Source organism: Homo sapiens, chromosome 11, assembly GCF_000001405.40.
Source record: "Homo sapiens chromosome 11, GRCh38.p14 Primary Assembly".
NCBI lineage: Eukaryota > Metazoa > Chordata > Mammalia > Primates > Hominidae > Homo > Homo sapiens.
Window position 1 is genome coordinate 134,031,051 of NC_000011.10, and position 24,107 is coordinate 134,055,157.

Here is a 24,107-nt window from a genome sequence, read left to right on the forward strand (position 1 = left end):
AGCAAGCCTGCCCCAGGTATGCGTGGGGCGGGGGCTGAGCCTCCAGCGCCCCCAGTGTTCATAAGGAAGAGGTGCGTGGGAGCTCCCTGGGGGCTCAGGCCAGGGTCAGGAGCTGTGGAGAACTGCGACCACCCTGCTCCTGGCTACCTCGAGCCCACGCTGGCTCATTTGGCAGTGAGAAGACAAATGCCAGGTGGGGCTTAGGAGGAGGACGGTGGGGAGCATAGAGAGGTCGGTGGATGAGAAAGACGGGAGGGGACTGGGGCAGAGGAAAGGGCTGGGCCCCCAGGATGAAGGGGAAAGGCAGGCAGGTGATCTGCAGGTGGGAAGGAGAGAGAAGATGGGAGCAGAGAAGAAACCATGAGGCCAGATAACAGGGCAGAGAAAGGAGACGGAGAAGCCACAGGGGCTCGGGGAGTGACGTGACATGTGGGTCACCTGTGAGGGCAAGCACCCCAGTCCTCTCTTCCTAAAGGCTGGTGGAAACAGGGGGTAGAAGGTGCCGGATGCCTGCCACTCATGCCCTCTCCTGCCTTCCCCCGTCTCCCTCATCTCTGTACCCTCCCCTGGGGGCTGAGCCCAGGTTCTGCTCTGCTTCTGAGTCCTCTTGTCCCTCAGTTGCCACTTTCTGCGTTTTTCCAGACTCTTTCTGTCCATTCACCTGCCACAGACAAGGGCTAAAAATTCAGAAGCCAAGTTTCTGATGCCAGCTCTGTTCCTCAAATGCTGGGCCGCACTGGTGGAGTGCCCTCTAGTCTGAACTCCACAGCTGCTTCATTGATACCCCTCCCACGGAGTTGTAAGGGGATAATAGAGCGGATGAAAACGGACTGTAAAAGCACCAAAGGATGAAGACACTTTGGATCCTACGTTTATTTCCAGGACTGAAGCCCTCGGGTTTCTTTAAGAGGAGACGTCCTTGTGCTCGTCCTTGTCCTCGTCCTCCTGTGCACCATGGCTTTTGCTGTGGGCCTGACACACCTTGGGGCTGCCTTGTTTCAGGTCAGAAGAGGAGAACTTGTAGAGTGAGCCATGCTTGGGTGGAAGGTAGGTGGGCTCACCAACATCCTCTACACAATTAGTACAGACTGTGATCTGAGGTGGCGTCCTAGAGCTAGAGGCTAAGAAGTCTCATGCCTGAAGCAGATCTAGGCATTTAACACGCAGAATAAGCTAGGTGGGTTTTCAAGGAGCTGCTGAATATGCATGAGAGGCAGCAAGAGAGAGAGCAGGAGAATGAACATGGGGGAGACGCAGAGAAGCACACAGAGGCATGACTGATAAGGGCAGAGGAGGAAAGAAGGTCTCGGAGACCAGGGCATGAATGTGGTTGCACAGAGACGGGGAGAAGGATGGGGAGAAATGAGGAACAGGAAGAAGATTCCGAGAGAAATAAAGAGGCCGAGAGGAGCTGAGCCAGGCAGCCGGTGGAGCAGGCAGATGGAACAACAGAGACAAAGAACAGAGCCACAGAGTGGGCACACAGCAAGGCCTGGCAGCCAAGCCCTGTGGGTTTGGTGGGAGCAGATGCTTGTATGGGAGCAGCAGCTGATGGCCCCCAGCACGTGCATCCTTGTTGACTCCAGGCCCAGCACAGCCTCCTCGGCAGCCGGCCTTAGCCTGGAGGAGCAACCCTGGTCCAGAGAGGCAGACGAATGGCAGCCCTGCCCCGTGGGGGCTCCGGTTCTTCTCCTCCATCCTCCTCCAGGCTCCGCCCACCTGCTCCGTCTGCCTCCCAGGGCCTCGTGAATCCCAGGGAAGCCATGAGCTGCCACATCACGCCCGGAAGGAAGCGGGCTGCGTTGGAGGGGTGAGTGTGAACCGCTGCAGTGTGCTTAGCTCTTCCTCGGGTGGGAGCATGTGCAGGGGTGTGCACGCTGTGGGAGGGGCGAGAGGGGGAGAAACGTCTGGGCTGCACGGGAACTAGCGCCAAGAGGCTGGGACGAGGCGGGGTGGGGACAGATCCCCGGCAGCACTGCTGGCACAGCTGCCACGCCCAGAGCCCTCTCCACCCCTGGCTGCCTGGATGTGAGCATCTGCAGCTCCTTGCCGCCACCCAAGCCACCAGACTGCCATAACCTCTGAGCGGAAAGGATCTGAGTGGACCCTGGTTTTTGGGTCAGAGGAGCCTTGGGGCTTCCTTGACCTCATTCTCTCCAGCTGCTACCCACAGGCCATTTTCCCATCACTCTACAATAGTCTGGTGTGAGTGGTGCCCCCACCCCAAGAAGCTCAGAAGGGCCAGGGAGAGGGAGGTTTCCACCAGGACCTAGCCTTCGCCCCAGTCCAAAGGCAACTCCCACACTGCCCTCCACACCCCCTCAAGCCCCTCCACAAAGGACATCGTCAGAACACTACAGGGACACCCCGACATCAGGCTCCCCACTGTGCCTGGGGCAGTCCTCGCTGGTCCCACACCCAAGGTCAGGGGTGCCTGCCAGTGGCCCAAAGTGCACAAGAGGCAAGCCCTGGGAGGGAAGAGGGTAGAGGGGAAGCGGGTGGGGAGGACAGTGTCGATTGCAGGCGCAATCCGAGCAAAAGACGGGCACCACAGGAGCCAGATGGGCCAAGAAGAAACAGAAGTTCAGTAGGAAGAGACAGATAAACAGCAGACACCAAGCAAGCAGCCAAGCATATGCTTTGCAAGCAGGCAACACAAGCACCCAGTAGGGTTTGGGGGCTGGGGAGGGTACATGAGCCCACAGGGAGGGGGACATTAGGTTTGCTGTGGGCTGACTCTGCCTGGTTAGAATCAGTGATCTAATCCTCTCCACGGAGCCTCAGAAACATGGAGCTGCAGCCGGTGCTGGCAAGGAAAAGCAGCGTTTGGCAGGGTGGAAGGAAAGAGTGCTTATGCTGGTGCCCGAGAGATTGGTCTCTGGTAGAAGAAACATAGCCCCAGACTTGGAAGCCCGAATAGCCACGTGCTGTCTCCAAGACTCAGAGCAGAGACCCCTAAAGCTGAACCGGATTCACAAGAGGAGCAGAGGACCGCCTCCCGCAAACCCGGGAAGTCCTTGAGCCCTGCAGGTGCCGGCTTTCCCTGCTAATGAAGCCCATCTAGGCTGGAGCCCTCAGTCTGGGTGATGTCATCCTTTTGAGCTTCAGGCAGGCAAGGGGTGGAGCCAGGCTAGAGCTTTGCAGAGTTTGCACGCTCCACCCCTGACTGCTCTGACTTCTGGGCCCTGTCTACCCAGCTCCCTCTTGGCCACGGCTTCCTGGCCAGCCCTGCTGGAAACCGGGAGCTGCTGCAGAGCTGGAGGAGGGAGGGGGTCACCCAGATCACCTCTGCAGAGAGCAGGGCCTGGCCGGGGATGGGCTTCACAGAGGCCCTCTTCCACCCATCCATGCTTGTTCCTACGTTCACTTCAGGGAGCCCTGAGGTTTTGCGGGAACCCAGGGTCCTGGGACCCCAGCCTCAGCCTCTCCCCTCCACCTAGCATGTCCAGAAATGCTCATCTGCAGTACCAAGTACCAGGTGTCCCAGTGGAATTTCTTCTCTGAATACCACTCCGGGGAGGAATAAAACTGAGGGAGATAAGCACCACCCTGGGTTTGTTCGTGCTGAGCTAAAGGAATAAAGGCTCTGCACTGAATTGGAGCCTGTTCTAAGCCCCAAGGCCAGCCAGCCCTCCTGCAGAATGGTGCCTTCACCTCTCACATGCTCCTGCTGGACATAAGCCAGCGCTGTGCCAACTGCTGGCCTCCCTCTGATGCTGGCATTGGCCCCAGCTTCCTGCCTCCCCTCCTTCAGGGCTACCCTAACCCCTACCAGCCACCATGGCTTGAAGCATTGAGGTCTCTGGACTAGATAAAAATGTGGTCTTCCTCTGCCCATCATAGATGTGTAGGTGCTACTGGGGGTTTCCTCTGACAGCCCTATGCCTACCCAGGGTAACACAGGTGCAGGAAGCAGCCCCGGCTGGTCGGGGAAACTCACCACACCACAGGGCCTCTTGTTTGGACTCAGCTGCTTGGCACAGCCCCAGTGCCCAGGAGCAGAGAGGAGCTTTCCCAGGTGCAAGCCCTCAGAAAAGCCTGGGAGCCAAGCCTCTGTGTGCCCACGTGCCCAGGGCAGATGCCCCGCTCAGTGCCAAGGCCCTCTTAGCCCTCCCCAAGCCGTCGGCTCTGTAGCCATATGTCTGGGACAGACAAAAGTGAGGATGAGGGTGACACAGGCGGAGGAAAGGAGCGGGTGAGATTTCTACTGCGATTCATGAAGCCCTGGGCTAGGGCCTCAGCAAGACCGACCGGCACAGGCCTGATTCACAGCAGGAAAATGCTGCCCCGACTTTGCCAGCTCTTGACACACCCTGATAGCCTATAGCATCATGCATATTACACTTTGCAGTCTGCTTTCTTAGATGTTGAATTGTATTCCCACAACATTGCCATAATGGAGATAAGGCAGATAGTATTTTAATCCATTTTATGGATGAGGAAACTGAGGTAGGATTTGAACATCTATTTCTGGAAGGCCTCACAAGGCATGTGAAGGTATACAAAAATAAATGAGCAAAATAGCGTGTTATGAAGCCCAGGCTCCCAGAGGCCTGGTATCACCATCCTTCCCTACATCACACAGTTTCCCATGCTCAACTCAGAATGAAGAGACACTGCGATAGCTAGGAGCAGAGGCTCTCCCCCACGGACAGCTGCTTGAGGAAGGAGTGAGGAAAAGAGAGCAGGCAATTGAGTGATGAAGTGGACTGTCGCCTGGCCTGTGTGCCTGGGACCTGGGCATGGCCCGCATATGCAGACGGCGTGAAGGCTGTTGTTTCTGTGTGCACATGTGTACATGTCATGTAGGATGTGTATTCTGTTTTTAGGCCTGTACATACGTAGATCCATTGTGTGTGCTAGGAAAGGGCATTTCATATGTTCCAGCTAACTGTATCCAGTAACATGTATGGATGGCAAATGCGCGGACCCGAAGGATAGAAAAGGAAGACGAGGATGGTTATGTGGAAACGTGAGCAGGGTCTGTACATGTTTGCTGGATGACTGTAAGAGAAGAATTATACACACGGATTCAAGAATCCGCCTGTGAGGCCGGGCTCGGTGGCTCATGCCTGTAACCCCAGCACTTTGGGAAGCCAAGGCGGGCGGGTCACTTGAGGTCAGGAGTTTGAGACCAGCCGGCCAACGTGGCAAACCTCCATCTCTACTAAAAATACAAAAATTAGCCAGGTGTGGTGGCGCGCGCCTGTAATCCCAGTTACTCTAGAGGCTGAGGGAGGAGAATCTCTTGAACCCAGGAGGCGGAGGTTGCAGTGAGCTGAGATGGCGCCATTGCACTCCAGCCTGGGCGACAAGAGCGAAACTCCGTCTCAAAAAAAAAAAAAAGTGCACGTGAGCATAAGCTTGTGGGTGTGGGTGCACAAGCGTGGACTGTGTATAGCGATGGCTAAGTGTGTAAAGAGCTTGAGTACCAGCTGTAGAAGGGCATTTCCTGGGGGGGTCCCTGCTGAGACGCCAACTCAGGTGCTTCTGTGCCCTTCTTGCAGTGGGGTCCTTACAGGGCCGTCCCACGAGCCTGCTCAGAGCCAGGCAGCCCCGGCCAAGCCCGTGCCACAGTGCAGCAGCTCCTTCACCATCCACGCTCCTCCCAATTCCGCAGAGGACCCGAAACCTCAGTCCCGAGCAGATCAATTGCCGCTGATAACATTTAAATTCTGGCCTGGAGGTGCCGAGGCGGCCCTGGGAAAGAGGAAGGGAAAGGTGGCACGGATTTCAAGGGAGGGACTCGGAGTTAACAGATCTGATCCTTCCGAGCCTGCAGTCTCTAGCCGCGCGCCCCCGCCCCCACCCCCACCGCCAAGCCGAAAACCCAATCCTGGGCCCACCCATTTGCGTGGATGCCACAGCTCGGCCGGAAGGCTTCAGCGTGGGAGGGGGTGGGGGTGACACCAGGGCTGCCCCTTGAGAGCGACACCGGCCTGAACCCCGTCCTCCCCGCGCCCCCCAGCCCCGCCTCGCTGCAGACGGTTCGCCTTGTCCACTCTTCTCGACTCTTCTCGACTCTTCTCCACTCTTCTCGACTCTTCTCCACTCTTCTCGACTCTTCTCCACTCTCCCAACCAGAGGGCCCGGGAGGGGAGCGGGAGGAGGGGCGGTGCAGGGGCGGGTCTCCTCCGAGCAGGGCGGCCCTCAGCACCCCTTCCCGGACGTGCGCCCGGCACGCCCACACTCTCGCACGGAAAAGCCCCACTTCTCCTCAGCGTCTGGGTGCTGGGCCGTGCTGGGCCCTCCCCCGTGGAACTGGGATTTATGAAGCCGTAACCGGCCAGCGCCGCGGCAACCTCCGCTTCATCCTGGAGCCAGGCCGGCCTCCTGCGCCGCGGAGGGGAGGGCGGTGGGCGGGAGCTGGGCGGAGGCGTGGGGCCGGCGGAAGGCGGCGGGGAGCTCTTCCCGGGAAAGGCCAGCACCTGAGGCTGCACTTTCTCCCCGTTTCCCCTCAGGAAAAGACGCACCAGCAGCCTAGAATTCGAGGCACTGCAGAGCCGGAAGGGGCCTCGGCGCTGCTCCCTCCGCCCCCTCATTTCACAAACCGGAAACTGAGACCCAAAGCAAGGAAGGGACTTGGCCAAGGTCAGAGCTCACCTGGGACCACACGAAGATGATAACTTGCTAGGAGTTTTGCAAATGGGTTTGTCTACAGTTTGGTAGAATTAAAACATTGTTTTTAGTTCAGATTTGCAACAGTGGCCGGCTCCCTCTAATCCACAGTGGTGGAGCACTGTGATTGACATTCAGCTGCAAAGCTCTTGCTGGGAAACGCGGTGGCCGAGCCGTCAGCACAGGCGGCAGCTGCCTCCCACACTTAAGACAGGACTTCTAAAGCCACAGTCCCTCAAACGGCAGGCAGGTTTGTGAATGTTTCCGTGTTCTGAACATTTTTCTGCAAAAGGGTTCACAGCTTTAATTGATTTACAAAGAGACGTACACCATGGAAGAGATTGAGAATCATTTCCTTAAAGCAACAAGAATCTAGGCTGGGGAGAAATCAGATTTTAGGAACGAGCTGCTAGGCACCGTAGCAGCATTCAGAGACATGAAAGCATTGGATTGTTTCCTAGATTTAAGAGCATATATTTTGCAACATGAAAGGGCTTCTATGCTCTAGAATGTAAGTTCCTCAAGGATAGGGGTCTAGTCTATCTCTTCACCTAAGGTATCCTTAGATCCTGGATCAGTGCCTGCGCGTAATCACAGGTGCGAACACACATGTGATTAATTTGTTAGTCTGCACAGCACTTCCCTTTCCATGCCCACTCCTGCCTGGTCTCCAGCAGTCGTCAGAATTGCCATCGTTAAGGAAACCCTGATGCAAGAATTGCAAGAATGACTCTGTTTGTTTGTTTGTTTGTTTGTTTGTTTATTAAGACGGAGTCTCGCTCTGTCGCCCAGGCTGGAATGCAGTGGCGCGATCTCGGCTCACTGCAAACTCCACCTACCGGGTTCACGCCATTCTCCTGCCTCAGCCTCCCGAGTAGCTGGGACTACAGGCGCCCGCCTGCGCGCCCGGCTAATTTTTTGTATTTTTAGTAGAGACGGGGTTTCACCGTGTTAGCCAGGATGGTCTCGATCTCCTGACCTCGTGATCTGCCCGCCTCGGCCTCCCAAAGTGCTGGGGTTACAGGCGTGAGCCACCGCGCCCGGCCAAGAATGACTTTGTAAATCAGTGTTGACATTCAGGACCTTTTTCATTTCGTGTTAAAGACTGATCACCCTGGGAAAATCAAGGCAGTCCAGCCAAACCCCAACTCCCAATCAAATGCAGTTTGTATCGAACCCCACGACTGCCCAGCACCTTTGGGAAGCCCATTGCTTTCTATGCAGACGCAGAGCTCCCAGAAAGCACAGGTGGATGTGCTCAGCTTGCCTTGTGACGTGAATGCCTGAAAACAGAACAGGACTAAAAATTCACTGTCTCAGAGCCTGCAGCTTGGGAGTCTGAGTTCTCAGGGACAAGAAGAGAAGAGTTCCCAGTGTGGCAAGGACCAGGCGGACCAGCCTTAGGCCGGGCTCTGGTTCCTCCCCTCTCTGTGGATTCCCTTTGATCCTCCCCTCCTGCCCCACTTTGCAGCCTCCACAGCTTAGCTGCTAAATCACTGGGGATTAAGACGCTAGGGGCCGGAGGGGAGGGCAACTCGTCCTGGGACAGAAAGGGCTCCTTTCCTGGGAGGGGTGAGAGGAAGCTGGGGTTCTCAGGGCCCCTGGCTGGGCCAGCCTTCCTGCCCTCCCCCACCAGCCTCACCCCCGTTAGCTGAACCTCCCGTGGACAGGCAAGCTCAGAGAGGCAGTTGTGCAGCTGCTGCTTCTGTCTGGGGCTAAAAATAGTCTCCTCTCCGCCCATGTCCAGCTCAGGCTGGGCCAGAGCTCCGAAGAGGACTCACAGGCAGTTGGGGGGACAGAAGGTGGGGCCAGAGACAAGTGCCCCCATGGGCAAAGAGTAGGTGAGACGGGGCAGGGAAGGTAGGGCTGGGGCCTGCCTCTCAGCTCTGATCCCCCAGAAACTCCCTTAGGAAGGAAATAGAGTTTCTCATCCCTGTGTTTCTGAGGGGAAAAGGAGACAGAGAAAGGTTGGGCAGGCTGACTTGGGTCACGTACCAATACCTAACGTTTATGAAGTGCTTGTCAGACACTGTTTTAAGCTCTGTAGATGTCAAAGGACCCCATGACGTAGGTATTATTATTCCCTTTGACAGTTGAAGAGATGAAGGCGCAGAGGCATGAACTCCCGTAGCCAGAGAGTGTGAGCTGGACTCTACCTGGAGCAGCCTCGGTGCAGAGCCCATGCCCCCAACCATGTCCGTGGTCGAGGCCCAGCCCAGACAGGGCACAAAGGGGCTGAGGAAGAGGAAGTAAGATGCCAGGGTTGCCATGCAGGAGGGCAACCCCAAGTGAGATGGGCATCGTGGCCTAGGGCCCACCTTCCGGAAGAGCTCATCAGAACTTCGGACACACTGCATGGGCCTAGACCCAGGGCTCGTTGAGCTCCTCCCTCGGATTGGCTTCGAATTTTAGGTGAATCCTCTCTAGCAGCCACATTCACCCTTGCAAGCCTGCACTTTGTCATCTTCTGAAAAGGTGCAGGAACATGATGCCCAGCTGACTCCCAGGGAGCGGGAGCCCCAGAGGCCAGCGGAGCACAGCCGCAGCAGGCAGATCTGTTGGGAAACCACGGGAGTATAGGAGCAGGGCTGGGGGCACCTGAGGGACTGTGGAGCCTGAATTATTGAAACGCTTAGAGTAAAGCAGATTTAGATTTCACAAAGACAGAGGTGAAGGTGGGTGAAGACGGAGGGAAGGATTTAAAGGGAAAGAGAAAGAGGAAAGATAAGAATGAGGGAGAAAGAGGAAGAGAGAAAGAAAAAGAGAAATAGAGTTATCGAAGATGACTGCAAGTCTGGCCTCTCTCAACCCAAGGAGCCAAGGAGGGGAAGGCCGGCCTGAGCAGCAACGTAGACAAGAGCTCAGGAGGGCAGGGACAGAGCCCTGGCTTCAGCAAGAGCGTGGGGAACAGAGGGCAAGGGGGTCCATGCAGCCCAGGATGGCAGGGTGCTCATACACACAGCCTTGGTCCTGTCCCCTCTCCCATTGCCGCTTTTGAGCTCACCTTGTTTAAGGCCAAAGCACACACCATCCTCCCACAGAGCCACTAATGCAATTAACAAAACACATTCATAAATCTTGCATGGCGTCCGGAGCTGTCTCCTCTCCCTAAGCACAAAGGCCAGCTCCAGAGATGCTGTGCAGAGAGCTGTCTGACCTCTCCAGCGTCAGGGCCCCCTGAAAAGTGCAGCATAACCCTTAGTAGGACAGAAAGACCATTGTCTTCTGCCAACCATTACAAAGTGGAGTGGGGCTGGGGTTAGGAAACACAGACAAATCAGAAGAGGCTGAGAAGGCGGAGATGAAAGTGCATAGGTGTTTGCAGGGAGCTGGGGAATAGTTCGTGCCTTCCAAGCTCAACAAGAGAGCATTCAGCAGAGACCAGAGAATCACCACTTTTGGAGGGTGATTTTACCTTGTGAGAACAGAGCACAGGGTGTGTGGGACCCAGGGCATCTTCGGCAATGCGGGCGTGACTTGGCGGGATGTCGGTGTTTGTGTTTGCATGTGTGTGTGCGTGCGTGCATGCTCAGTCTGGAAAACTGGTGACTCACTAAAACACCGAGCTTTCTGATCTGAAGAGCTTATATTCGGCTATTTTTAGCTCGTCTTGTCTCTTGGCCCTTTTTTTCCCCTTGTCTGTTTTCAAATGTAGAGGAGTCTGGAGACCATGAATGCCGTGTGTGTGTGTCTGCTAATTTAGAGCTTGGGCCCAGAGGTGGGTACCCCTGAAGGTGCAGAGATGAAGGCACGTGGGGTGTATGTGTGTACAGCAGGGACACACTGACACAGACAGGGTGCACATGCTCTTATTCTGGCATGTACACACGCGTACCATGCATACGTGCAAGCAGGAGTGAGGCCAGAAACGTCCCTGGAAACTCCGGCCTACACTCTCTTCACGTGGGTTGGTGTACAGCTACCCACTATGCATACTTCACAAGTATAACTGCCTCCCCACCCCAGCCCCTGCCTCACACGACCCAGGTGGGCACACTCTCATGAGGCACATGGCCACAGGCACAGTCTGGGCCTATCTTGGGGAATGGCCCCAGCCCCTGTGCCTTGTTTCTTCTCTGTTCAGCCACTCTTCCAAAAATTATGACTTCTTCTCAAGAAGGCCTTTCTCTGCTGGTTGGCAATAGGAAACACGAAGTGCCAGCTTCTGCACTTGGCTTCTCCTGGGACTCATTCAGCTGATCCCACCTGCCCACCACCATTGGCCGAGACCGCCTCCCCAGTCCAGTGGTCATCCAGCTACAGGGGGTCTGGCAACTGCTTAGAGAGGCCAGGCAGGGGTCAATGCTGTGTGAGCTCCGTTCCTCTAGCCGGGAGAGAGGGAGAAAGGAGAGCGAGCTCGGATTGCCATCTGCCTAGGTGCAGTGTGGGGCAGGCGGGGAGCGGAGCTCGGACTGCCGTCTGCCTAGGTGCAACGTGGGGCAGGCAGGGAGCGGACAGCACTCTTCAAGGCTCTAGAACGCTGGTGGGTTCCTGGACCTTGACTCTGTGTGACAGGACTGTGTATGCAACCCAGTGTCAAGAGCAGAAATGCGCAAATGCTGCCTATGACCAGTGCCTCAGTGATGCGGCACGCCTGGGAAAGGGCACCCACAGCCTCTCTTTCCACACAGCACACATGCTGTGCACTCACGCACAGCAGCACGTGCCTGCATGCACACACTCTTAGAAGCCTGCGTGAGAGAGAACACGAGCCTTCGTTACTCCAGACACCAAAGCAAGCTCTGAGCTGCATCATCCCTCAAGTCTGCAGTTTAGGCATGGCTCAGAGGCCCCAGCCAAGGCGGCCAAAACCCAGCCATGTGTTGCTCCTTAAGCCATGTCTTCTGCTGAGAGTCTGCGTCAGCCCAGAGGAGGGGCCCTCGGTCTCCCTTGCCTGCCGGGAGGCCCTGTGGTTCCTGGTGTCCAGTGGGCTCAGCGTCACGTCCTGGAAGGAGCCACTACCCGCCTACTGCCCCACTGCATTCCACTCCACACACATTTGGGGATCCAGCGCTCTGTGCAAGGCACTCCATGTCATCATGATGAAGGAGGACCAGCCGGAGTCCCCACCCCCAGACCCCTGCCCCAAGATAGGCTGGCACAGAATAAGATGCCTGCACAATTAGCCATTGCAGGACTCGTCACCCAGGGTGTGTGTGGTCATGAGCCACGCAGAAGGGATAATTCTCTCTTCCTCCTGGGGCCTGGGGGCCTTCACAGAGAACAGGACAGGGGCTTTTGCCTGGGCCCTGAATAATGAACAGATCTCCCCAGGCCAAAGAGGAACTTCTCAGGCAGGGAACTGGCCTGCATGAAGGTGTGGGATTGGGAAGCGTGGACAGGGGCTCGTGGGGAGAAATCAGATCTTGCCAGCAGACAGACTGGAGCTCAAGCCTGCCTGACTTGCCTCCGGTTCTGTGGCTCTTGCCTGAAGGAGAAGTGATTTTGAATTATCTACCTCTCTTCTTACCCCACATGGAAGGAAAAAGTCTTTTTATCTTGAAAGATCTGGACTCCTTCTGCCTTCTGAGCATCTGTAAGATGGAGATACTAATAGGGCCTTCCCTATAGAGATATTTTGAAGATTAAATGAGAGACCTCATGGAAAGCTGTTAGCACAGAGCTGAGTAAGTAAGCATTGTCATTAGTTATTATTATCCTATTTTATAGGCTACCACAGTGATTCTCAACCGATTTTACCCCTCAGAGGTCATTTGGCAATGGCTGGAGACATGTTTGGTTGTCACAACTTGCAGGAGTGGGAGGGAGGCTGCTCCCCGCCCCTGGTGGGTAGGGCCAGGGTGCTGCTAAGCACCCACCATGCACAGGGCAGCCCCCACAGCAGAGCAGAGCCCCCCCAGAATGCAGAGAGCACAGAGGCTGAGAAGGCCTGGGCTGGGGGGTTTCACCTTCTCCTGAAGACAGTGCGGTGACCACGATTTTCAAGCAGGGAATGACATCATAAAATCTAAGTTTCAGAAAGAAAAATCTGGCAACATTGTGACATGTCTAGAAAGCTCAGCCAGGGGCACTGCAGACCTGCAGATGAGACCGGGGGGAAGGAGGGCTGGGTCTGCAGCAAGACCAGGAGGCCGCACATTGGCAAGAAGAGAGCAGGAGAACCTGCTGAGGGCTAGAGGAAGGAAGGGACAGGCCTGGGGCCACTGGAGGACCCTAAAGTTTCCAGCGCATGGACCTGAGCAGATGGTAGTGCCGCCTTTCAACAGCATAGGAAGAAAAGACTCCATTTGGGAACTGTGTCCTCCAGGGCCCAGGTTGGGGGAAGCTCCTCCACCAACCTGTACGTGAGCCATGCCCCTCCAGTCCATCTGCTCCCACTCAAGGGGGGACCACCCTTCAAGAGACCCTCACCCAGCCCATCAGTGCCCAAGAGAGGCAGGCATCCAACTGCACCATCTCCCTCTCCTTCCCCATGCAGCTCCCTCTGAATGATGATCAGTGAGGCCCTGCAAGACAGCCTCCCGAGGCCGAGCCACCGAGCTACAGGACGAAGATGATCTTTCTGGGCTCCTGATGTCCAGACCCTGTCTTGTCTTTCAGCATGTTCAGAATACCTGTGGCTGCTGTGGGCAGAGAGGAGGTACCGGGGAAGTCCTGGCAGACTTATCTATCGGCAGAGAGACTGAGTCTCCATGCCACCCCAATTCCCCCTGCCCTTTTGACTGAGCTCTGAACACAAGTTAGAGGAGCTGGGGGAAAGCTCCAAGCAGTCAATACATCAACCAGTGAGCACGTGACATGTCCTGTCTCGTGCTCAGCGCTGGGGAGGACATCCCCACAAATATCACAGCTCAAATTCACTGGTTGGGAAGGCAAGACTCACAGGCAGAGAAGAGTCAAAAAACTATTAAAGAGGCCCCTGGCATAGTCTGAGGAGCCCTGGATAGAGGTAAGACCAGAGTTCTATCCCCAGGCCTCAGGCCTGAAGCAGGTCCCTGTACTTCCAAAAGCTCCAGCTACACCAAGTTATAGACAACTTCTCATGGCCTGGATTGTGGATGGCAGTGGCGCATCTGATTGATGGGTACTGATGCCTGGAGCACTGTGCTGAGGAGGAATCCGAGGCAGCAGCAAGTTTAGTAGGACTGTGATGGCCAACCGGCGAGGCGAGCGGTAGGTGCCACCGGGATGTCATGGGGATGTACCTCCTGCTTATTAACCCTTCTGGTTAAGAGCAACTGACTGGAGCCATTTCTAAGGACTCCTCCAGCTCCCAAATGGGATAATTCTATGATGGAAACGTTACATTTCAAGGCACTGGCTGGAGCAGAATAAGGCAAAGCAGGAAGAGATCTGCATGGGTTGGGCTGATCAGGGAAGGCTTTGGGAAGGAGGCGGCACTTTAGTGCGGCCTCAAGGTGGGGGAGTGTGAGTAGCTGTACCGGAGGTGGGAGGACGTTTATGTGCATAAAACTGGGGCTGAGCATGGGCTGTTCTTGGTACAGGAGGGAGGCGGCTAGCATCGCTGGAATGCGTTGTCTGTGTTTGGGGCAAGTATGATTACATATGGGAGAGCACACTGCCTGAGAGCTTCCCACATTGAAGCCACAAGCAAAGATGACGTTCCATGCATGCTGGCTTCCAGTCCTCACAGCTCGTCTTCAAGGCAAATGCTCTTCCCAGCCTTCCCTAGCATTCTGTGACTTGCTCAGGGCTACCGCTGGCAGGTGCGAATCCTGCATTCAGCCTGGGCAGTGCGGTTCTGATGGCTTCGGGCATAACTTCTCTGCTCTGGTGCCTTCTCTACTCTTAGAAGCTGACCAGTAAGGAAACCCAGCAATGCAGTTGAGACACCATGGCCGGATCTGTGGATTCTAGGGACCAGGAAGAGGCAGGAACAGCTGTAGACTGAGGAAGGAGGGCCTTGCTTGAGCCATCAGTCACACAAACAGATCCAAGCAAAGAACAGGGCAAGGTGGACACAGATCAAAGATGGGCACTAAATGCCACTGGGTTAGGGCTTGCTTTAGACCCCCCCAAGTCCTACATAATCTACTGGAAACAACAAAAAGTGTCCCAACCCTCTGGGAATAGGCAAGAAGGTGTGGGAGGTCATGAAATTCCAGGGACGTGGGGCTCAGCCTGTGAGGATGGGAATAGAGCCTGCCATGGTCTTAACACCAGCCCAGAGGCAGAAGGCAACTGTCTAAATAAAGATCTCATTTCAGACAAAGCTTAACCCTGCCTTTGCCCAGGCCCGCAGCCTCCAGCTGTCTCCACGCTGTCCCTGCCTGGCACCTGGTGGTGCGCTGGGGAACTTTCTCCCTCCTTCACAGCCCTCTCTCCTTCCTTTCTCCTTACTGGGTTCACAGACAGCTCCAGCCTCCACTCAGCTTGGCCTCTCAGTTCGACGGCACGCAGAAGATGCTGCTGTGCGCCGCCCTGCCCCAGGCTCCTGAGCAGGGGAAGGTGCTGTCGTGCGCCGCCCTGCCCCAGGCTCCTGAGCAGGGGAAGGTGCTGTCGTGCGCCGCCCTGCCCCAGGCTCCTGAGCAGGGGAAGGTGCTGTGTCTCGTCTTGCTTTCTTCACCTCTCCCACCACCCTGGTCCCCACCCATCCGGGGATGGATCCGAAACCAGCCCGGGTATGAAACTCTCCGGCCTCTCTCCCAAACATCCTCGTGCCCCTGCTCCCCTTGCTCTGGTCCCACTCCATCTCAAGCCCCCTCTGCAGTCCTCCCTTCTGGTTTCTCCCTCTGGCCTCCGGGAGGCCTCTGGTGCCCGCACAACTTCCTGGCATTGAGGAAGGACCAGAGCTGTAACGTGGGGCTGGAAGGTCCCAGAACCACCAGCTAGTCCTGCCCTGCCAGCCTCTCCTTGTTAAGCTCTCCCTCCTGCTGTTCAGTCTATGCTCGACGACTAGAGGCCTGATTTTGAAACTCTCTTTTGGGGCCACTGGGTCAGGCCAGCCCTCCTCACTGTCAGGAAATGTATCCTCATTTCTTACCTTAATTTCTCAACCGCAGCCGTTCTTTCTTGCTCTGAGAAGTCACCCGGCGTGATGCTGCGGCCATGCTACTCCTCAGCGCTCTGCTTCCCAACCAAAACAATGCTCCTTCTCATCTTTTCCAAAGCTTCCGGCCCCAGCAGTTCTCGGACCTGGGGTAGTTTCCTCCCCGCAAGTAACAAAGGAGGACAAGCCCCAGCTTCTCTAAGATGCCTTCAGCTGCCTGGAAGAGGCCTGTGGAAGGCCCTGCAACTCTCCGCAGACCTCTGGGCATTGCTGCTGCTTCTCAGTGCCCCTCGTCCCCTCAGCCAGGTGAGTCACCATCATCCTCGCTCCTCCCAGACCCGAAACCTCTCCTCTCCCATCCTTCCTTCTCTTTGTATCTCTTTCCGTTTAAACACGCGAACGAACGCGTGTCCACACACGCATATCATTTCGGGCCCTATCTGGAGCTGTCATTGACAGAACTCAAATTGTGATAGGCAAATTGGCTTCAATGTCAGAGACAGGAAACCCAGTATGCATCTCCCGGTGCCTGGAGAGCGAGGAGATAAGAGAGCAGAGATGGGCTGCCTCGGCCAGCAGCACCGGAGCAGGGACGGTAGCCAGGGAAGCAGGTCTTCTGCGGCTCCGGCTCAGGCACCAGAGTCCTGAGTGCTGGGGACCCTGGCTTGATTCTTACCCCCAGCGTGATGTGGGATAACAAAAGGAGGATGGAGCACCTCCGAGATGCACTGAGCCCTTCCCGAGGGCTTCTCTAAGACAACCCAAGTTCTTTCCTAGCGGGAATCAGACATCTACAGCAGGGACCCTTAGCCCCCAGATGCCACATCCTACATGTAGGGCCGGTCACTGCCCTGGCAGTTAGGAGGGGACGGGTGAGAGCTGCTGCCGAAAAGAGGAGCAGCCGTTCCAATGCCATCATACCTCTGCTTGTCCCCGTTACATAAAGCTCCAGCTGACTTGGCGTAATGACTAAGAAAACTTTCCAAACTTTCCGAAGACAGTTGGTGATCCTCTACCCTCCCGGTGACTGGTGAGAACTACCCCCACAGAGAGCCAGCAGAGAGGAAGGCTCCCAGCTCCGGGCCCTGACTCATCACACACACAAACACTCCCCAGCACTCTTTCCCAAAACAGTTCCCCTCCCACCCATCCACCCTCCTACCGGGGCTGGGTGACAAAAATGAACGCCCCAGAGATCTTGCCAAGTTCTGGGCCACGCTCAGCCCAGGGAACACGCAATTCCCCGTAGAATGGGAGGAGCAGGCCCCGCCCCCTCTGGAAGCAAACAATGTCCATTGGAAGGAAACGACCACCTGACTCTACAATGATCACTGTACTGTTTTCCAAATACCTTGGACCACTCTCCCCCAAGAAAGAGTTCAAAGCTCTATAATCATAAAATATTAGAGCTTAAGGCAATCTTAAAGGTCATCTGTAGCGCCTCTCCCCTTCCCTGCTTCCATGCATCTACACGTGGATTCATTTCTTTATCTATCTGTTCATCAGATAGCCACTCAGTTCCTACAGTTTGCCCATGTGCAACGCACGCACTGGAGGCCTCACAGACGCACTGTCTCCTCAAGGCGCTTGTCATCTAGTGGGTGAGAAAGCAAGTGACAAGGCGTTGGAATAAGTAGGACAGGCACTGTGGTAGGAAGAGTGCATGTTCTAGAAGCACCGAGAGGGCACGTCACCCCCACCTTGGGGTAGTGGGGGGAATTCATGGAGACTTACTGGGAGATATTATATATATCTATGTATATGTACATAATAAATATAAAAATGTATTATAAGTAAATATATAAAATATAAACAAAAATATAAAATATATAAATATATATTATATAAAATATACATATATATTTTTTGAGACAGAGTTGGGCTGGAGTGCAGTGGCACAATCTCGGCTCACTGCAACCTCTGCCTCCTGGATTCACGCAATTCTCATGCTTCAGCCTCCTCAGTAGCTGGGACTACAGGCACACACCACCACGCCCAGCTAATTTTTGTATTTTTAGTTGAGATGGGGTTTTGCTGTGTTGACCAGGTTGATCTCGAACTCCTGGCCTCAAGTGATCTGCCTGTCTCAGCCTCCCAAAGTGCTGGGATGACAGGCATGAGCCACTGTGCCCAGCCTGGGAAAAATTATATTTAAGTTGAGCTATAAAAAATAAGGAAATTCCTTTTCAATCAATAAGAGGTCTGCTCATCACTCAGTACGGCTAAAGCATAGTGTCAGGCACACTGCATGATGATGAATCGAATGTAGTGTCCACACATAGAGTTTAACGCCTAGTGAGGGACATACAGTAAAGGTACGCATGACTAGAATATTCTATGCTCCCAATAGAAAGAAAAATGTTCAGGGATGGCCATCCCAAGTGCCCTGACTTAATCATCACACATTATATACATGGATCAGAATATCACATGGTCCCCAAAATATCTACGATGTATGAAAAAACCAGAATATACCTCGAAGCACCAGATAATGCTCCTAAAAGAAGGATCTGTGGAGTCCCAGGGAGGGTTTCAGAGAGGATGAGGGAAGTTCCCAGCTGGAAAGACTTGCAAAAGCCCCATGGAAGAAATCTGAGTTCACCTTCAGGATGGCTAGGATTTAAAGGCACAGAGGGAGAAAGAAGGGCATTCTGAGCAAAAGCCATGCTACCAGCAAAGTGGAAGAACCAGTGCCGTCTGGGGGAAGAAGGATACACCAGTCTGACCGAGGCACACGACAGGCAGTCGGGGCAGACGCGGCGTGAACACAGGCAAAGTCTGAGGACGCTCTGAAATTGAAAGCCAGGCCCTGCAGTTTCTCAAGGTCACAGAGTGAGGAGAAGAGCAGGACTTCCGACGTGAACTGCAGTGCTCCTTCACAGATGACAGATGGCACTTTTCCCCTTGTGATGCTTTGGCCCCTCCCTGCTGGAGGAACCCTGTGGCTGACTCCTCCCCTCCCCAGGGGGTCTCTGGATGCAAAGCAAGGAGACCCCAGGCTAACAATCCAGGCTGTTCTACTCTGGCTTTTGCATTTTTTTTTTTGGATAAGTACGTGGCCAGGCAAGGTGGCTCACACTTGTAATCCCAGTACTTCCAGATGGGGAAGCAGGAAGATCGCTTGAGCCCAGAAGTTTGAGACCAGCCTAAGCAACATAGTGAGACCTCATCCCTACAAAAAATTTTAAAAATTAGCTGGAAGTGGTGGCACACACCTGTGGTCCCAGTTACTTGGGAGGCTGAGGAAGACGGATCGCATGTGCCCAGGAGTTCAGGCTGCAGTGGGCTGTGGTCGTGACACTGCACTCAGCCTGGGTGACAGAGCGAGATCCTGTCTCTAAAACACAATCAATCTATATTTTTAAAACTCTTTTGAAGAGGGCAGCAAAATCCACCCCACCAACTGAACTAGGGTCGCACCCTGGCTCCTAAGCAGCCCAGTGTGAAATATTTGGAACTCTTACGGCTGTTCTTTCTTCTTCCTCATCTCCACACAAATACACTAACCTACGGCTTTCAGTCTTAGCCCTTTATTGCTTTATGTACATGCCCGGCTCAGGGCTTACATCCATCTGGGTATCTCTGCTTAAGACTGCAAGTTCTTAAAATACCGGGATGCTGCCTGTAATCCCAGCACTTTGGGAGGCTGAGGCGAGAGGATCCCTTGAGGCCAGGAGTTCGAGACCAGCCTGTGCAACACAGAAGACACTATCTCTACAAAAAATTAAAAAATTAGCTAGGCATAGTGGCACATGCCTGTGGTCCCAGCTACTCCGGAGATTGAAGCAGGAGGATCACTTGAGTGAGGGAGGTGGAGGCTCCAGTGAGTCGTGATCGTGCCACTGCACTCCAGCCTGGACGACAGAGCGAGACCCTGCCCCCTCGCCAAAAAAAAAATACTGGGATGCTATACACAAAATTGCCTTGAAAACTTGAGCACGGAACACCAAACAGCTAAGCGTGCCGGTTTGGGGAGGGCGGGGGAGGAATAAGGAGCTGCAACGGTAAGAGGCCGCCACACGGTGGCGCAGTGAGGCTGGGAAACGGTGCACCCCGCGCAGGAGGGGGCACTCCCCGTCGCGGCCACCCGGGGTGGGCAGGAGGCGGCGCGGGCTGGCTGGTCTCTCCCGAGAAGGTTCTCTCCCGAGAAGGGTGCGTCTCAGGGCTTGTCAGTGGACCCCTGGAACATGGGGAAGACGCACAGACAAGGGTTTCGCTCTTTGCTCTCCTCTCTCCTTGTCAGACCTCTGTGACCAAGAGAGGCCCAGGGGCACCTGAAGGCCACCACGGTTGTATCCTGCTCTGAGAACCCATCCCTAGGTTGGGAGAGGGAGCAGCCGTGTGCAGGTGGAGATCCTAGCGACAGGAGGAAGTGCCTGCCTGCGTGCGTGCGTGCCTGCGTGCGTGCGTGCCTGCGTACGTGCGTGCGTGCGTGCGCACTTGTCCTTGAGGTGCAGAGACTGGTGAGCAGGGTCAAAGATGCTTTTTTTTCTTAGTCTAATGAGCTCTTGGAAACAAAGCTAATCTCTGGAGGGAAGACACACCCTGGACATTTGCTGCTGGCCTGGAATGGATGTTTTAAGAGCCCATCCTACGAGACGGTTGGAATGCTTTTTTTTCCTTTTTTTTTTTCTTTTTGGTAGAGACAAGGTCTCACTATTACCCAGGCTGGTCTTAAACTCCTGGACTCAAGCGATCCTCCCGTCTCAACTTTCCAAAGTGCTGGGATTACAGACAACAGCCGCCATGCCTGGAGGTTTGAATGCTTCTAAGAAGCACAGGACATTGATGATTACACATTGTATCCGTGTATCAAAATATCACATGTATCCCACATGATAATGTACAATTATCATGTATCGAGTAAAAAAATAAGCACAGGAGAGCTTCCTTTCTGTTCTTATCCAAAACCCTTCCTACACATAGACTGGGCACATCAAAAATGTTCCCACCACAGTCCATATTTGTTACTAAATATACACTCCTGGCCGGGCGCAGTGGCTGACGTGTGTAATCCCAACACTTTGGGAAGCCGAGGCAGCATAGTAGTTCAAGACTGGCCTGAGCAACATGGCAAAACCCCATCTCTACAAAAAATACCAAAAAAAAAAAAAATAATAGCCTGGGGTGATGGCATACACCTGTAGTCCCAACTACTCAGGAGGCTGAGGTGGAAGGATCACTTGAGCCCAGGAGGTCAGGGCTGCAGTGAGCCGAGATCACGCCACTGCTTTCCAGCCTGGGCGACAGAGTAAGACCCTGTCTCAAAAATAAAAAGGAGCCAGGCGCGGTGGCTCACGCCTGTAATCGCAGCACTTTGGGAGGCCGAAGCGGGCGGATCACCAGGTCAGGGGTTCAAGACCATCCTGGCTAACACAGTGAAACACTGTCTCTACTAAAAATACAAAAAAAATTAGACGGGCATGGTGATGGGTGCCTGTGGTCCCAGCTACTCGGGAGGCTGAGGCAGGAGAATGGCATGAACCCGGGAGCGGAGGTTGCAGTGAGCCGAGATCGCGCCACTGCACTCCAGCATGGGGGACAGAGCCAGACTCCATCTCTAAATAAATAAATAGTGGAAAAAAAATTCTACCAGTGTCCTTTCCAGACACTCCTGAACAGCTTTCTGCAAAATGCTGATCATAAGCACGTCTATGCACGTGTTACTGGAAAGGGGTCCCAATCCAGACGCCAAGAGAGGGTTCTTGGATCTCACTCAAGAGAGAATTCGGGGCACGTCCATAAAGTGAAAGCAAATTTATTAAGAAAGGAAAGGAATAAAAGAATGGTTACTCCATAGGTAGAGCAGCTCTGAGGGCTGCTGGTTGCCCATTTTTATGGTTATTTCTTAATGATATGCTAAACAAGAGGTAGATTATTCGTGCCTCCCCTTTTTAGACCATATAGGCTAACTTCCTGACGTTGCCATGGCATTTGTAAACTGTCATGGCGCTGCTGGGAGTGCAGCAGTGAGGACGACCAGAGGTCATTCTCTGCCATCTTGGTTTTGGTGGGTTTGGGCCGGCTTCTTTTCTGAAACCTGTTTTATCAGCAAGGTCTTTACGACCTGTATGTTGTGCCAACCTCTTATCTCATCCTGTGACTCAGAAAGCCTAACCCGTGGGAGTGCAGCCCAGCAGGTCTCAGTTTTTTCACCAAGGCCCCATTCAAGATGGAGTTGCTCTGGTTCAGATGCCTCTGACACACAGATGCCCACAGATCCATCTTCACCTCAGCAATGCCTCTCACACACACAGCCACTGCAACCCTGTGTGTCTCCTCCCGAGAGGGTCCCTCAGACACAGTCGTGTATTTCGCCACTCAGAAAGGCGGGTTCGCCTTCCTACCTATGCACACAGAGGCCAGGAGGACAGACACAGTGCGACACAGAGGCAGGAATAGCAGTTCCATGTGGGCTGGGGCCCCCGCTCCATTTGCCCCTGCGAGGGAGGTTTGTTTCCCGCCTGTGCGTGCTGTTCTGGGCTCAGCATGGAGACGGGGGCGGGGGGGGGGGGGTGGAGGAGGAGGGCGGAGAGCAGCTTCTCAGAGTCAGGCTCCTTCCCAGCTGCGAGGGCAAACAATTCCCAAGAAGAGGATTGGGAATTCTCTGTGAGGGCAGAAGAGTGTGAGGAGAACAGGCTCGGGCGGGGCAGGAAGGATTGCCTGAGAACGTTGAACTTGGCCTTCGCAGGGCAACCAAGAGTCAGAGTTTTCGTTGATGCCAGAAAGAGAAGTTAGGAGTGTGTGGGTCTGTGCGTGTGAAAAAAGGGAGGGAGAGGCAGGAAGGGGACAAGGACAGACATCGAGGTGGAAGTAAGCAATTGAGAACATGCACAGAGTCAGACTACGGGAGCAAAGGGGTAGAAATAAGGAATCTTTAACTTAGAAGCGGAAGATTGGGAAGAAGAATAAACAGCAAGAGGCAGGGGATCCAATCTGGGAAGCGTGCAGAGAGAAAGGGGCCCAGAGCAGAAAGCTTGCAGGTGGAAGGAAGGAGGACAGGCGGGCAGGAAGCCCCAGGCCTGTCCAGAGCCCCGCCACTGCAGGAAGGCACTGAAGGCCGGGAGGGCAGCTCAGCTCATCTGTTACTTACAAGCACAAGCTCCCCCCAATCCCGATTAGCAGGAATTACGTGGCATATGGCTAATCCTCCTGCCACAGTTATTAATACTTTCCAGACACTGCCGAGGGAACCAGGCAGCCTCCTTAGGCCCAAGGCTTCCCCCAGCCTGGCAGGGCCGGCCACCCATGCCTGCTGCAGGGGTGCTGTGGCCCAGAGGAGGGGAGGGGAGTGGCTGGAAAGCTTTCTCTAAGTCCTTCAGGCGACTCTGAATCCTCTGGAAGCACATGCCACAAGCTCTTCCTTTTTCCAAAATCCATGTGTATGTTGTTTGGTTTAAATAGTCACAGAAAACTTGTGATAGAAGGAGAATATATGATATCATTCCCATTAAAAACTGCCAGGCACAGTGGCTCACGCCTGTCATCCCAGCACTTTGGGAGGCGGGTGGATCACCTGAGGTCAGGAGTTTGAGACCAGCCTGGCCAACATGGTGAAACCCTATCTCTACTAAAAATACAAAATTAGTCGGCTGTGGTGGCACGTGCCTGTAGTTCCAGCTACTTGGGAGGCTGAAGCAGGAGAATCGCTTGAACCCCGGAGGTGGAGTTTGCAGTGAGCCGAGATTGCACCATTGCACTCCAGCCTGGGCGACAAGGGAGAAACTCCATCTCAAAAAAAAAAACTTAGGAAGCTGGGAGTGGTGGCGTGCGTTTGTACTCCCACCTACTTGGGAGGCTGAGATGGGAGGATTGCTTGGGCCCGGGAGTTTGAGACCAGCCTGGACAACACAGTGAGACCTCGTCTTTATAAAAAATTTTTTAATTAGCCAGGCATTGTGGCACACAGCTGTAGTCTCAGCTATGAAGAGGCTGAGGTAGGAGAATTGCTTGAGCCCAGGAGGTTGAGGCTGCAGTGAGCCATCACTGTGCCACTGCACCCCAGCCTAAGTGACAAAGCGAGACCCTGTCTCAAAACAAACAAAAACAAACAAACAACAACAACCAGGAAAACAAATCCAAGAGAAGGGAAAGGATTTAATCAAGGACTTCTACTCAATAGCAAAGTCTGGCTGTCCTCATTTCCAGCCTAGCGGATGGAAACTGGAAGCTAACTTGCTGCTCCTGGCTTAGGGAGACATAAAAAGATAAACAGGGGAAGGGGAAGAGAGCAAGAAGGGGAGATGAACTTCTGATAGTGGCTAGTGTGCAGCCAGGTGTCCAGCGAGCACTTAGTGAGTGCTTTGTAATTGATGACTTGCCGGGCTTTGTCTTAGGTGAGGTGCAAAGTCGACCCTGAGATGGTTTGTGAGGAACAAATTGCTCCCGTGGGAAGTAACAGAGGAGTGCAGGGGGCAGGGGGGAAGGGAAAGAAGCCAAACAAGAGGGCCATTTCAGACCCGTCCCAGCCTCAGCCGACCCTGCGGGGGAGCTCTGGGGACAATTACTCCTCAGTTTG

The 24,107-nt window shown here is 54.4% G+C and overlaps 1 long non-coding RNA gene across 1 annotated transcript, besides 11 other annotated features; it reads left to right on the forward strand.

Annotated features, from left to right (window-relative positions):
* Positions 86-585: an enhancer, noted in NCBI's record as "H3K4me1 hESC enhancer chr11:133901031-133901530 (GRCh37/hg19 assembly coordinates)". NCBI's record gives its function as "activates a minimal SCP1, AML or CMV promoter by ChIP-STARR-seq in naive H9 embryonic stem cells {active_cell/tissue: H9 hESC(naive)}" and the evidence as "EXISTENCE:reporter gene assay evidence [ECO:0000049][PMID:30033119]".
* Positions 1,222-10,291, forward strand: LINC02731 (long intergenic non-protein coding RNA 2731). The gene is made up of 3 exons (NR_027276.1): positions 1,222-1,810; positions 6,462-6,591; positions 8,712-10,291. It is a non-coding gene; the product is annotated as a long intergenic non-protein coding RNA 2731 (long non-coding RNA).
* Positions 1,286-2,013: an enhancer, noted in NCBI's record as "H3K4me1 hESC enhancer chr11:133902231-133902958 (GRCh37/hg19 assembly coordinates)". NCBI's record gives its function as "activates a minimal SCP1, AML or CMV promoter by ChIP-STARR-seq in naive H9 embryonic stem cells {active_cell/tissue: H9 hESC(naive)}" and the evidence as "EXISTENCE:reporter gene assay evidence [ECO:0000049][PMID:30033119]".
* Positions 2,014-2,741: an enhancer, noted in NCBI's record as "H3K27ac-H3K4me1 hESC enhancer chr11:133902959-133903686 (GRCh37/hg19 assembly coordinates)". NCBI's record gives its function as "activates a minimal SCP1, AML or CMV promoter by ChIP-STARR-seq in naive H9 embryonic stem cells {active_cell/tissue: H9 hESC(naive)}" and the evidence as "EXISTENCE:reporter gene assay evidence [ECO:0000049][PMID:30033119]".
* Positions 5,808-6,779: an enhancer, noted in NCBI's record as "H3K27ac-H3K4me1 hESC enhancer chr11:133906753-133907724 (GRCh37/hg19 assembly coordinates)". NCBI's record gives its function as "activates a minimal SCP1, AML or CMV promoter by ChIP-STARR-seq in primed H9 embryonic stem cells {active_cell/tissue: H9 hESC(primed)}" and the evidence as "EXISTENCE:reporter gene assay evidence [ECO:0000049][PMID:30033119]".
* Positions 5,924-6,133: a silencer, noted in NCBI's record as "silent region_4090". NCBI's record gives its function as "represses an Ori minimal core promoter by ATAC-STARR-seq in GM12878 lymphoblastoid cells {active_cell/tissue: GM12878}" and the evidence as "EXISTENCE:reporter gene assay evidence [ECO:0000049][PMID:35858748]".
* Positions 6,214-6,503: a silencer, noted in NCBI's record as "silent region_4091". NCBI's record gives its function as "represses an Ori minimal core promoter by ATAC-STARR-seq in GM12878 lymphoblastoid cells {active_cell/tissue: GM12878}" and the evidence as "EXISTENCE:reporter gene assay evidence [ECO:0000049][PMID:35858748]".
* Positions 14,565-15,065: an enhancer, noted in NCBI's record as "H3K4me1 hESC enhancer chr11:133915510-133916010 (GRCh37/hg19 assembly coordinates)". NCBI's record gives its function as "activates a minimal SCP1, AML or CMV promoter by ChIP-STARR-seq in primed H9 embryonic stem cells {active_cell/tissue: H9 hESC(primed)}" and the evidence as "EXISTENCE:reporter gene assay evidence [ECO:0000049][PMID:30033119]".
* Positions 15,066-15,566: an enhancer, noted in NCBI's record as "H3K4me1 hESC enhancer chr11:133916011-133916511 (GRCh37/hg19 assembly coordinates)". NCBI's record gives its function as "activates a minimal SCP1, AML or CMV promoter by ChIP-STARR-seq in primed H9 embryonic stem cells {active_cell/tissue: H9 hESC(primed)}" and the evidence as "EXISTENCE:reporter gene assay evidence [ECO:0000049][PMID:30033119]".
* Positions 15,066-16,614: a biological region, named in NCBI's record as "CDK7 strongly-dependent group 2 enhancer GRCh37_chr11:133916360-133917559".
* Positions 15,415-16,614: an enhancer, noted in NCBI's record as "CDK7 strongly-dependent group 2 enhancer chr11:133916360-133917559 (GRCh37/hg19 assembly coordinates)". NCBI's record gives its function as "activates an origin of replication core promoter dependent on BRD2, BRD4, P300/CBP, MED14 and CDK7 cofactors, with strong dependence on CDK7, by STARR-seq in HCT116 cells {active_cell/tissue: HCT116}" and the evidence as "EXISTENCE:reporter gene assay evidence [ECO:0000049][PMID:35650434]".
* Positions 22,379-23,231: an enhancer, noted in NCBI's record as "H3K4me1 hESC enhancer chr11:133923324-133924176 (GRCh37/hg19 assembly coordinates)". NCBI's record gives its function as "activates a minimal SCP1, AML or CMV promoter by ChIP-STARR-seq in naive H9 embryonic stem cells {active_cell/tissue: H9 hESC(naive)}" and the evidence as "EXISTENCE:reporter gene assay evidence [ECO:0000049][PMID:30033119]".